This window comes from Homo sapiens, chromosome 1 (genome assembly GCF_000001405.40).
Source record: "Homo sapiens chromosome 1, GRCh38.p14 Primary Assembly".
Taxonomy (NCBI): Eukaryota; Metazoa; Chordata; class Mammalia; order Primates; family Hominidae; genus Homo; species Homo sapiens.
Window position 1 is genome coordinate 188,342,757 of NC_000001.11, and position 13,768 is coordinate 188,356,524.

The 13,768-nt window shown below is 38.0% G+C and overlaps 1 annotated feature.

Annotated features, from left to right (window-relative positions):
- Positions 12,700 to 13,201: an enhancer, noted in NCBI's record as "H3K27ac hESC enhancer chr1:188324587-188325088 (GRCh37/hg19 assembly coordinates)". NCBI's record gives its function as "activates a minimal SCP1, AML or CMV promoter by ChIP-STARR-seq in primed H9 embryonic stem cells {active_cell/tissue: H9 hESC(primed)}" and the evidence as "EXISTENCE:reporter gene assay evidence [ECO:0000049][PMID:30033119]".

The window sequence follows — 13,768 nt, forward strand, 5'->3', positions numbered from 1 at the left end:
TCTTCTTTTGTTTAAATCTGCTTATTGTTCTATAATTTTCTTGTACCTTGATATTGATACCTTTCTCTAGGTTAAGTTCTCTGTTATTATCCCTTTGAAAAAACTTTTTACCCTTATCTGTTTCTCTACCTCCTCTGTATGGCAAATACATCTTAGATTTGCCCTTTTGAGGCTATTTTCTAGATTTATGGGGATCCTTCAATGTTTTTTATTCTTTTATCTCCTCTGAGTGTGTATATTCAAATAGGCTGGCTTTAAGCACACTAATTCTTTCTTCTGCTTGATCGATCATAATATTAAAGGATTCCAATGCATTCTTCAGTATTCCTATTGCATTTTTCAGCTCCAGAATTTCTGCTTGATTTTTAAAAATTATTTCAATCTTTGTTAAATTCATCTGATAGAATTCTGAATTTCTTCTCTGTGTTATCTTAAATTTCTTTGAGTTTCCTCAACACAGCCATTTTTGTTTTTGTTGTTGCTGTTTGGTTGTTTGTTTTTGAGGCAGAGTTTCGTTCTTTTCACCCAGGCTGATGTGCTATGGCATGATCTTGGCTCACTTTAACTTCTGTCTCCCGGGTTGAAGCAATTCTCCTGCCTCAGCCTCCTGAGTAGCTGGGATTACAGGCCTCTGCCACCACACCCAGCTAATTTTTTTTATTTTTAGTAGAGATGGGGTTTTGCCATGTTGACCAGACTGGTCTCGAACTCCTGATCTCAGGTGATCCACCCACCTTGTCCTCCCAAAGTGCTGGGCTCACAGATGTGAGCCACTGTGCCTGGCTGACATTGCTGTTTTAATGCTCTGTCTGGAAGATCACATATTTTTGTTTCTCCAGGATTGGTCCCTGGTGCCTTATTTAGTTCATTTGGTGAGGTCATGTTTTCTTGAATGGTGTTAATGCTAACATGTTCTTAGTGTCTGGGCATAGAAAAGTTAGGTATTTACTGTAGTCTCCACTGTCTGGGATTATTTGTAGCTGTCTTTCTTGCAAAGGCTTTCCAGACATTTGAAAAGACTTGAGTGTTGTGATCTAATCTATATGTGCTTTAGGGGTCCCCCAAGACAAGAACACTATGGCCCTTGTGGATTCGTAGAAGTACCACCTTGATAGTCTTGAACAAGATACGAGAGAATTCTCTGGATTACCTGACAGAGACTCTTTTTCTCTTTCCTTACCTTCTTCCAAACATGTAGCCTCTATCTCTCTTCTGAGCCACCTAAATATGGGGGTGGAGTGACAAAAGCACCCCTGTGGCCACCAACACTATGACTCTGCTGGGTCACAACTGAAGCCAGCACAGTGTCATGTCTCACCCAAGGCGGTAACCACTGCCTGGCTACTTCCTATATTTACTCAAGGCTCTGGGGCTCTACTATCAGCAGGTGGCAAAGCCAGACAGGCTTGTGTCTTTATCTTCAAGTCAGCAAAGCTCCCTAAGCCACATTTGAGTCCAGAAGTGCCATCTGGAAGTCAGGGACTGGAGTCAAAACCTTTAGAAATCTACCTGATATTCTATTGTATTGTGCCTGAGCAGGCACTGAAACCACTAGATACAATCCTTCTGTGATGGTTAATACTGAGTGTCAACTTGATTGGATTTAAGGATACAAAGTATTGATTCTGCTGTGTCTGTGAGGGTGTTGCCAAAGGAGATTAACATGTGAGTCAACGGGCTGGGAAAGACAGACCCACCCTTAATATGAGTGGGCACCATCTAATCAGCTGCCAGTGAATATAAAGCAGGCAGAAATACGTGAAAAGGAGAGACGGGCCTAGCCTCTCAGCCTACTACAAGTTTCTCCCATGCTGGATGCTTCCTGACCTCAAACATTGGACTCCAAGGTCTTCAGTTTTTGGACTTGGACTGGCTCTCCTTCCTCCTCAGCTTGCAGATACCCTATTTTGGGACCCTGTGTTAATAAGGTCTGTTAACTCCCGTATATCTTCTGTATTAACTTACACACTATATATATATATATATATATATATACATACACATACACACACACACACATACATACACATACACACACACACATACACACACACACACACACACATATATATAGTCCAATCATATTATATATATAATATATATATATATATATATATATTCTATTGGTCTGTCCTTAAGTAGTACTTGCTTATTTTTCCCACATATATATATGTGTGTGTGTGTGTGTGTGTATGTATATACACATATAATTAACTTACACTATATATATGTGTATATATATGTGTATATATATGTGTGTGTGTATATATATATGTATATATATGTGTGAGTGTATATATATATATATATATGTATATATATCTTATTAGTTCTGTCCGTCTAAGAGAGCCCTGACTAATACACCTTCCCACTCTTCTGTTTCCTCTCCAAGGCAGAGGAGCCTCACCCCATAGCCACCACCACCACTGGCCACAAGGAGTACTGCCAGACTACCAGTGATGTTCTTTTAATGCTCCAAATCTGTTAAGCCAGCTTGTGGTGAATGCTGCCTGGCTTAGGACTCACCCTTCATGCCCAAGGCAGGTACAGAAATCCCACCCCAAAAGCCTACTTGGCACCCTACCCCACTGTGGTGGTGTTGGTAGCTAAGGTGCAAGACAAAGTCCCCTTTACTTCTCCCTCTGCTTTTCTCAAACAGAAGGAGTTTTGTCCCATAGCCACCACAGCTGGTAATGTGCAGAGTCTCATCTGAGGCCAGCAAGTCTCAAAGGATCACTAAGGTCTTCAATGTAGTACCTGGGTATCTCTGTTGGCTATCCAGAGCCCAAGAGCTCTTCAGTTAGAAGGTGATGAAAGCTGAGAAGACTGGATTCTCTTCTTTAAAGCAGCAGGTTCCCTTCTGGCCCAGGATGTGTCTAGAAATGTCATCTGGGAGCTAGGGCCTGAAATGGGGGCCTCATGAGTATGACCAATGCCCTGTCCTGCTATTGCTGAGCTTGTATCCAAGTTTCAAGACAAAGTCCCCCCCACTCTTCTCTCTCTTATCCTCAAGTAGAAGGAAAGAATCTCTTTTGTAGCCATGAGCTATGCAGCCTGAGATTAGGAGAAGGGTGATGCCAGCACTCCCTTGGCTTCCCCAGCTAGTGTCTCAGTATGGAACTTTCCCCCCTAACCCCCAGTCCACTGTCTCTGGGCCCAGTTCAGCCCCAGGACTCACCTAAAAGTTTCAGTCCTTATAACCTAGGCTGCCTTTCAAGTTTACTGGAGACCAAGAGCACTTTGGCTGTTGGTGGCAAGGTTTGTGGGCACTCAAGTTCAGTCCACAGGGATTGGCCAGGGCTGGTTTAAATGCTCCCTCTCTGGGCAGTCATTAGCTAAGTTTGGTCTGGTTTTCCTTTCTGATCTAATAGCATAGCGCTGACTTCAATGCCTCACAATTTCTGTGTTGTCTCTCCCCCAGCACCCAGAGATGCTCTCCGCACCATGCCTCTACTGTCAGGGGTAGTGGAGGGATGGCGTCAGTGATTAAAGACTGTATTTTCTTATCTCCCCAGTGCCTCTTTCAGTGATATGAAGTAAAAACCCAGTACTGTGAGTGCTCACCTTATTTTTGGCTCTTATAAAAGGTGTTTTTTTCCGTGTAGATAGTTGTTAACATGGTGTCCTTGTAGGGGCTACAATCAGTGAAGCTTTCTGTTCCACCATCTTCCTCTGCCTCTGAAACCTCTTTTTTAAAACTTTTGATACCCTGAAGAGTTTCTTTTCATAGTCCTTAAATCTTCAGGCCACTCTACACTATTTTTTCAAAATGCTTTTAGTCTAACATAGTGTAATTATAGCAATATGAGGCAAAAGTTCTAAAGATAATTTGATCAGTATTTCCATATTATATTCTAAATTAAAAAGGCATTCCAATAATGGGAAAAAGAGCATTAGAATCTGACAGTTTCTGTCTGCTTCATTATGTTGTTTTACCGGTATGATTGCTGAGAGTTTTTCACCCATTTGAAATATCCCTTTCAAAATCCACAGCTAGCAGTCACAAAATTTGTGTTAGTTATGCTGTTACTAGATACTAAAAGCACATTTAAAACACATTCCCAGATATATTTACATATCAATTTGACTTCAATAAAAAATGTTTTAACTGCTGATATACATAAATTCCATCCAGTATTATCTATTTCTTCATAGCACTTTTCAGTATCTGACAGGTGACTGCATGTTTATTTATTACTGCTTGTCTCTGCCACTGGAATGAATGCTGCATAAAAGCAGGGATTGATCCCTTATTCATTATTGGCTCTCCAGTATGGGGACATAGGACTAGCAATTGGTAGTTCCCCAATAATAATAATTTAAAGAATGAATGAATTCAGGTCCATTCAGTGAAAAGTAAACCTTTCAGACACTGGATGAATAAGACCTGATCTCTACTCTCACATAATTAAAAAATCAAATGTAGGAGGTAGAAACATTTAAAACCATATTTCTTTCTATTTAAGAGAAATATATAAACAAAATAACTTTTGAAAGAACCAATAAATTTTGAAAGGAATATAATGAAAGTTTATTTTTGAGATCAACTGTAAAGAATGCAATTACCACATATATGGAAGAGCATTTCAACAGACGTAATGATAAAATAAAGTCATGGTTTTTTTTTTTTGGAAGACAGCTTGGCATGCTGACCTATTGGGAGTGTTATAGCATAAAAACATTTACAAGCATTCCTGCTAGAAAAACAAATTGAAACCAAACTAGCCAAAGCCTTGAATACTTTGATGAAAAGTTTGGAGGTTTTTTTTGTTTTTTGTTTTTTTGCTGTTGAAACTCTTTGAACAGTAGTATAACTTTATCCAATCTGTGTTTTGGAAAACTAAACCTGTGGGTGGCAAAATAGATAGATTTGAAGCTGAGGAGGCGATCAACTGGAATACCAGTCTAGAGATCATCGCTATAGTTTAGCTGAAGATAATGAGAACTGAAATTAGAATACAGACCGTAGAAATGAAGATAAAGAAACAATTTGGAAGTAATATCAAAAGGGATTGTAGACAAATTTGACATATTTGGTAAAAGAGAAGGAGGAATAAAAAATGTCTCCAGAGTCATAAACAACTGCATAGATGGTAAAACTGAATTTAGATCAGAAACTGAAGAGAATCAAGTCTTAGTACACTAAATTGATTTTTTTCTCTGCATGTGTATAAGGTAATGCATAGTATATCCTTCCCTAAAATCTCTGATGAGTATCTCTTAAAGACTTATCAATTAAAGTCCTCCAAAATTTTAATTTGAATTAATTTTCAGTCTCACAATGATTTCCAGTCAAACTTTTGTTACTGTTACTCTTCATTTCGGTTCTATTACTTTACTAAGCATACAAAATACTCCATCCTTTTCAGTCTATCATGCAATAAACTTGCACACTACTCTGTATCAGTGAACCCAATGATTAAATTACATATCCAGTCAACAAACACTTCGAAATTAGGGACTGTATGCAAGGTACGGTGAATGCTGTGGGGAGGCCTGTAAAAAGATGAATAAGGCAAAGAAGAATCAGACTTCCAAGAGAAGTTCCTGGACTCTATCAAGAACTAGGTGAATAAGTCTGTCTTTGTAATGGGGTATACCAGGTATAGTAATCAAGTGTATGTATATGTTTGCATTCTTGCTCCATGTCTACCTGTCGAGCTAATGGGCTGATATCTAAGAACAATATTTCTTTTATTTCTTTTCTGATTCTTCCATCTCACACTGATATCTCTCAGGTACAGACATAAGCATTTTAATCTATATTATTCTGTCAGTCTTTTTTCACTGAAATGATTAATGCGATCATTGTAGATTTACATGCAGTTGTAAAACATGCTGCAGAGAGATCCCTTGTACATTTTCTCCAGGTTTTCCCAATAATAACATTGTGAAAATCTATAGACTACCATCTCAACCAAGATATTGGAACTGAGGCAATCCACCAATCATTTTCAGATTTCTCCAGATTTACTTATACTTATGCATGTGTGGGAGGGTATAATAAGTTCTATACAATTTTATTGCCTGTAGGTTTTGTATCCCATGAAAATCAAGATACTGAACAGATCCAACACCACAGTGATTTCTCTATTTCTCTTTTATAGCTAGACCCACCCCTCAACACTTTCTTCATCCTTGGTCCCCAACCGCTGACAAGTACTACACTGTAATTCATTTCTAAACTATCTTCATTTCAAAAATACTATATAAATAGAAACAAACATTATGTAAGATTTTGGAGTTAGCTTTTTTTCCCTCTCAGCCTATCTCTATGGAGATTCTCCCAGTGATGATGTGTAAGAATATTTCATTCCTTTTCTATTTTTGAGTACTATCCCATGGTGTAAATGTACCACTGTTTGTTTCGCCAATCACTTTTGGAAGTACATGTGGGACAATTCCAGTTTTTGGCTATTGCACACAAATTAAACTGCTGCAAGTTCTCATACAGATTTTATTTCAACATAAGCTTTCATTTATCTGGAGTAAATGTTTAAAACTTAATTTTCTGGGTACTATGAAAATTTTATGTTTGGTTTTATTTTTAAAAACAGCCAAACTGCTTTTTGGTGTGGTTTTACTATTTTACATTGCCACGAGTATTGCATGAGTGATTCAATTTCTCTGCATCCTTTCCAAAATTTGGTGTTGTCACTATTTTAAATTGTAGCTATTACTTTAACCACATTCCCATCTTCATGTCATATTTTTTGGATAGTCGGAATTACTACAAATGCCTTCAATAGCTATTCTGACTTTGGTGGACATCATAATTTGCCACCTGGATTAGTCAATTAAGAACTGTTACCCCAACTGTTGGGATTGTTATAGGAAACCAGCCAACAAGAGAAATCATACGCCCTCTTAGAGATTGCCTGAGTTGAAGAGATTGCACAAAGTCACATCTTTTCCCAGGGTAATCCACATCATTACTGACTGATGAGGGAGTTTATAGATCTTGCCGCCGTGGTCCTACTTGGGGCAACACTGAATGACCACTTTAGTTTCAAAGCTTCCTGTGGAGTTCCTAAGGGTGTATCTCAAACTGATTTCTCTCTGCCTCTCTTACTTTCTCCTACAATCTTGCACAAGTTTTTGTCTCAAGGATGCTCCTTAATATTCTGTACACTAGAGTCCATCTCTGTCTCAATTGTCCAGGCAACTCAAACTATAACTCTGATACAACTGACCTTTCCACTGTTCATTTTACCTCCTATTCTATTATGAACTCCTAGAATCCAATATATATTAGAAATTAGCAGTTGTTTTTCATTTCTGCTGCTTATTCAACTTCTGCTTCTCAATTCCAGACTTACACTCTTATACTATTTTTGTAATACTGGCTTAGTGTTAGGGGATACCAGTTGAGGGCTCTAAAGGGACAACGGAATAGTGGAAAGAAAGCAACAGACACACTCTTTTCCATTTGCTTCCAGTTTCTGTCAATGTCAACATAACATAGCAGTGGCTATTCATTCTGCCAGAAACACTTGATTACAGCAGCAACAATTGGTTGCAGTTTGCAGTTTGTCCATCATTCCAGAACAAGCCCCATCATGCTCTTCAGAGATACCTGTGCCAGCCACAACTTCTCAGCAGTCTGGATTCCAGCTCCAGAAGGAATCTTCTTTTACACTGCATAATTTTAATAACTTCTTCTCTTTATTCTTCTGTGCTAGGAGTGGAAGCTGTTTTCTAAAATTACTAACTCTATGATCCCTCCGTATTCACATTTGGCCTTTTTCGTTTGCAAGTAGTTAATATTTTGTATAATAATATTCTGCCAGTTTATGCCTCCTGAGATCCTAACTGATAGATTATTAGTTTTTATATAAAAGTTAATAAAGTTCATGAGTTAAAATTATCTGTACAATAAAAAATATTTGAGAAAAATATAAAATAGAAAAAATACAGCCATAAAAACACAATTTTTTTTTCAGTTAATTGAAAAATTTCTTAAGAATTTTATGTTTTAGTTCAATTATATGACTAATAAGTGGTGAATATACCTAATAGATTTTTTGATTGAGTTATCCATGTATATTTTGACCATATGTGCATATGCCATGAAGGCATATACAGAATAACTTTTGAAAGATTTTAGTGCAAGTGTCTAAGAAGTGATGTTTTAAAACTATAAGATCTTGATTTATCAATACTGAATGTTAGAGAATAATATAAATTGGGGAGCTGTGCATTTAAAATCTATGATTACAACTGAAAATGAAAATATTTTCTTACTCTAGTGAAAAATCCTACAAACTTACTGTGTGAAAAAACTGTTCTATAAAAGCAGGCTTTAGATACATAAAATTGGAAAGATCTAGGAAAATTAATAGAATCTATTACTTGATTTCTTTTATTCAAATGTGTGCCCAGAACCACTATCATGATCCTCTAAATAATCCTTTCAAAACAAAACAAATAAAAATAGTGTTTTTCCTGATAAAACATAAGATAACTGTAAAACTTATGAAATGTCTGAATTTCTTATTCCAAAACGTACTGCAAAGATTTGGGGCTATTGTTTAACCGTTTTATTAACCTTGTGTGTGTTGTAAGGATAATTTGAAGTTAATGTGCATTTCTCCATGAAAATTATTTGAAAACATAACCTTGTGAAGAATTGTAAGTGATAAATGTAATTTTAATTTTAAAAAGTTTCTGAAATAAGGCAAGATAGATAAGTATATTTTATTCAGAACACATTTTTATATCTAACTATATAACTCTCATATATAAACATAGTACCTCACACAGTGAACTCAAATTAATATTTACTGAATTGCTCAATCTATTTATCATGTTTTTGCAAATGTCATCATTGCATTTATATTTATTTCTTGAGAAAAAGAATTCTTGTTTAGTTAATCACAGAATTTAAACCACATGCAGTGCTATCTATTTTAGCTCCTTGTTTTCACTGAAGTTTTCAGTCCAGATTTGTAGTGAGTGTTAAATTTAATAATTTTTGAAAGAGTGAGAAATTGCAGCAAAAGGAGCAAGATAATTATCTGGAAACATAAAACAATCTGTGTTTCTTACTTTTGTTATGCAATGTAAGTACTCTTGGAAATGCAATCTGAGGATACTGTAACAATTTTTAAAATAAGAAAGGAGGATAGTGTTAGAATTTAATATATATTGTTGCTATGATTAAACATTTTTCAAAAAACTGAATTTGTTTACCCATTTTTCTGTCTTAAAAATTATCTACTCGAGGATTGGTCACAGTGGCTCATGCCTGTAATTTCAGAACTTTGGGAGACCTAGTCAGGAGGATCAGTTGAGTCTAGGAATTCAAGACCAGCCTGTGCTACATGGCAAAACCCCATCTCTACAAAACTACAAAAAGTAGCCAAGCCTGGTGGCATGGGCCTGTAGTTCTAGCTACTTGGGAGGCTGAGATGGGAGTATTGTTTGAGCTCAGGAGGTGGAGGTTGCAGTCATCCAAGATCGCACTACTGCACTCGAGCCTGAGTGACAGAATGAGACCCTGTCTTTTTTTTTTTTTTTTTTTTTTTATACTTTAAGTTTTAGGGTACATGTGCACATTGTGCAGGTTAGTTACATATGTATACATGAGCCATGCTGGTGCGCCGCACCCACTAACTCGTCATCTAGCATTAGGTATATCTCCCAGTGCTATCCCTCCCCCCTCCCCCCACCCCACAACAGTCCCCAGAGTGTGATATTCCCCTTCCTGTGTCCATGTGATCTCATTTTTCAATTCCCACCTATGAGTGAGAATATGCGGTGTTTGGTTTTTTGTTCTTGTGATAGTTTACTGAGAATGATAATTTCCAATTTCATCCATGTCCCTACAAAGGACGTGAACTCATCATTTTTTATGGCTGCATAGTATTCCACGGTGTATATGTGCCACATTTTCTTAATCCAGTCTATCATTGTTGGACATTTGGGTTGGTTCCAAGTCTTTGCTATTGTGAATAATGCCGCAATAAACATACGTGTGCATGTGTCTTTATAGCAGCAAAAGAAACTACCATCAGAGTGAACAGGCAACCTACAAAATGGGAGAAAATTTTCGCAACCTATTCATCTGACAAAGGGCTAATATCCAGAGTCTACAATGAACTCAAACAAATTTACAAGAAAAAAACAAACAACCCCATCAAAAAGTGGGCAAAGGACATGAACAGACACTTCTCAAAAGAAGACATTTATGCAGCCAAAAAACACATGAAAAAATGCTCATCATCACTGGCCATCAGAGAAATGCAAATCAAAACCACAATGAGATACCATCTCACACCAGTTAGAATGGCAGTCATTAAAAAGTCAGGAAACAACAGGTGCTGGAGAGGATGTGGAGAAATAGGAACACTTTTACACTGTTGGTGGGACTGTAAACTAGTTCAACCATTGTGGAAGTCAGTGTGGCGATTCCTCAGGGATCTAGAACTGGAAATACCATTTGACCCAGCCATCCCATTACTGGGTATATACCCAAAGGACTATGAGACCCTGTCTTGAAAAAAAAAAAAGTTATCTACTTGGTGGCAACTTTACCAGTGCTTATAACATTGTATCTCTCAATCTGAACTACTATCCAAAAACTATCAAATGTTTTCAAGTAAACAGAGATTTAGAGTGTTTTAGCTATTTTAATTAAATGAAAAAATTCTGTAATTTTAGTATTGATATTGATGTTTATTATTGACCACTCTCGATAAAAGATGAAGAGGTGGATACTCCAATCTATCAAATAGTTATGACACCAATTTCACTATGGTGAGAATTTATTAAGCTAGCGAATGAATTCAGCTAAATAAAGGAAAACTTAGAATACATTTGTGCATATCTGTCTTTAAAAAGATTATTTGACAACTTCTCCTTTGACAGTCCATTGCAATTTGCAGGTGTAAATGAACTAAGGTAATATTTTGCTGCATTATGTCATTGTAATCTGTATTTTTTCTTGAAAATAAATTGAGATGCTATTCAATTCTACTTAATTTTCCTTAGTATGTTAATAGGTTATATATGAAAACATGAAAATGTATAGATATTAAGGTTTGTTTTCTGATTAAAATAAGTTTGGATGCCAGGCATAGTGGTGTGTACCTATAGTCCCAGATACTCTGGAGGCTGAAGCTGGTAGATCACTTGAGCCCAGGAATTCAAGTTCAATCTGGGCAACATAGAGAGACCCCACCTCTTTAAAAAAGTACAGATTGTTAATTTTATATTTTAAAAAAATTCATAAGGGACAAAAATTAAATTTCACAAAATCTTAGAGTCAGTTAGTTTAGGAGAAAGAACCATCCTAAATTCAACCTTTAAATCTTCGATAAGTTGTAAAATACCTTGCCTAAAAGGACCCTAAGGCAGTCAGAAATGTAAAAGCAGGTAACCAAAGAGCCTCAAAACTCAGCCAACCAATATTTATTTATTTATCTATATGCCTTTTTACAAGATTAGTCTTCAGATTTTACTTTAAAGCTTCTTAAAAGTATTATTTATTGCAAAAAACTGATCATATTTAAACTTCCCCAACAGCTTCCTATTGCAGTTAAAATAAAATCCAAAACCCTCATTACATCCTGTAAGACTCTTTATGATTTGTATCCTGTTTAACATTCTGACCCCTCCTCCTTATTTTTACAACTCAACCCCTAGTTTGATTGTTTCTAGCCACATTGATAAAAACTACCATAAAACAATTTCCTGCTTTCTGTTTCAGTAGAATGTCACTAACAGTTTGCATCAGTCAATTCTTATAAATCAACTTATCCCAATAAATGGTTTGATTATCAGAATAAATAGTATGCTTGTGAGGCATCACTCTAAGACCTTTGCTTAGTAATGTTCAATAATCTTTAACTACTATTTCACAAATAGTTCTAATACTCTCCTGACTTCAATGACATGTCTTAATCCACATTATTACAGAACCCATAACTAATAAATATTGTTCCCTGTCTTGCCAGGTTAAATACATCATTAAAATGAATAAATTAATAATATTAATGTATTTAATTTTGCTTGGCCAACTAAACTTTGTGTTGTTATTTATGGGGACATCAAAAGTCCACTGAGACTTCCTTGAGCCTCCCACACAGGTCTCTGTCCATTTGTGATAGTGAGGAAAGTCCAGGACTAAGTCTGAGCTCTAATTTCTTTTCTCAGACTCCTGTTTTTTTGTCAAAAACTGAAGATCTTTCTTTTAGGAATTTTTTGATTACGAGCAAATGTGAAATAGCTTATCCTTGGTGAAAAACTGCCTTGTTATTAATGACAATCTGTTTCTCCTTTCCCACTCCGTTGGGAATGTATAAAAAGAAGTCCTTGGGAAAAAAGACAAACCCAGTTTCAATATGTTCATGTCTTTATGCAGATGCAAGTGATACAGGGTATTTTCTTGACTCCTTTGAGGGACTCATGACAGGAGTGCCCCATTTACTCAGCCTGCCCCACTCAACCTCTCGTAGGAGGGAATGCATGAGTGAATGAGTATGGCAACAGGAGAGAGCCATTGCAGGAACCTGCCAGCAGAGGCAAACTCCATTCACTCTGGGCCAGCATGCTCCACCCCTTGAGTGTGTAGAAAGGCGAGTGCAGGAAGCAGTCAACTTATTCAGTGTTGGCAGGAGCAAACTCTATGTAGGCCCTGTGGCAGGGTTCAAGAGGGGACAAGTGTAACCATAGGCAGAGAGAAGACCCAGAGTGTGTAGCTCCTATCTGTAGGCAGGTTGTCCTGATGAGTTTCCAGCTCTCAGCAAAGAGGAGACCCATAGTGGGTAGCTCTTTTTTTTTTGCAGGCAGGTTGTCCCAACAAGTGTCCAGCTTTCTCAGTGGACAGAAAGCCCGTAGCATGTAGCTCCTTTCTTCAGCCAAGTCATCTCAACAAGTATGTGAGTCTAGCTGAGTATGGGTTTTTTATGTGCTTAGAATGGAGGAAGTGCTTGCTAATTGGTTCATGGGTGACCACAGACAGGCCTGGAAAAAGCACCATCCAATTGGCTGAATGGTCATTAATGAAGTTCTCAGTATGGGCTGCAGACTTCATCTGGAACTGGCAGCCCAGCCCCCCAGCCTTCAGGCTGTATCTGGATTGAAGATGAGGTTTTACCAGAGACCTGCTCCTTTCCACCTAAGAACCTGTCTGCGTTTAACGTGCTGTCCATGATGCCCAGGCTGTCTCCACTGAGAGGCATCTGCAGCCCTGAGCCAGGCCACCTCAATGCCCTGGGGCCTCCTCCTGTGCTCATGTGGCACCCAAAGTCTGAAGGGGGCTGAGGTTGCAGGGGACTGTTGTGGCAGCGCTGCCTTGAGCACATGCACACCTGGCTGAGTTGTGGCAGCACCTAGGCTTCGCCACAACTTTGCTCTACCCCAGAGTGGGCACTAGGAGCAGAGAGAGGTCAGGAGCAGGAGCAAACATTTTCAAGCCTGTGGGGGCAGAGTTTTTCCTGGGTCCCCCAAGAACACAGGGATGCTGGTGTCTGGAGCCGTGGCTGTGTGGCTGAGGCTATACCTAGGAGTGCAGGCTCCTGCCCTGCCAACCCAGTAAGGGGTGGGGCTCTTACCTGTACTTGGCTCCCACCAGCTCTGTGGAGCGCTCAGCCCCAGCTGTGCCTTCCGTGCTGCAGCCAGCATCCTCACAAAGGCATCTCCAGAAGGGCCATCACTGCCATCAATAGGATCAAATTTATATGAAATTTAGAAAAAGTACAACTATTGAGTTGGAAAATAGATCAGTTGTTGTCGGGAGTTGGGAGAGGGGATAGTGATTGACTAC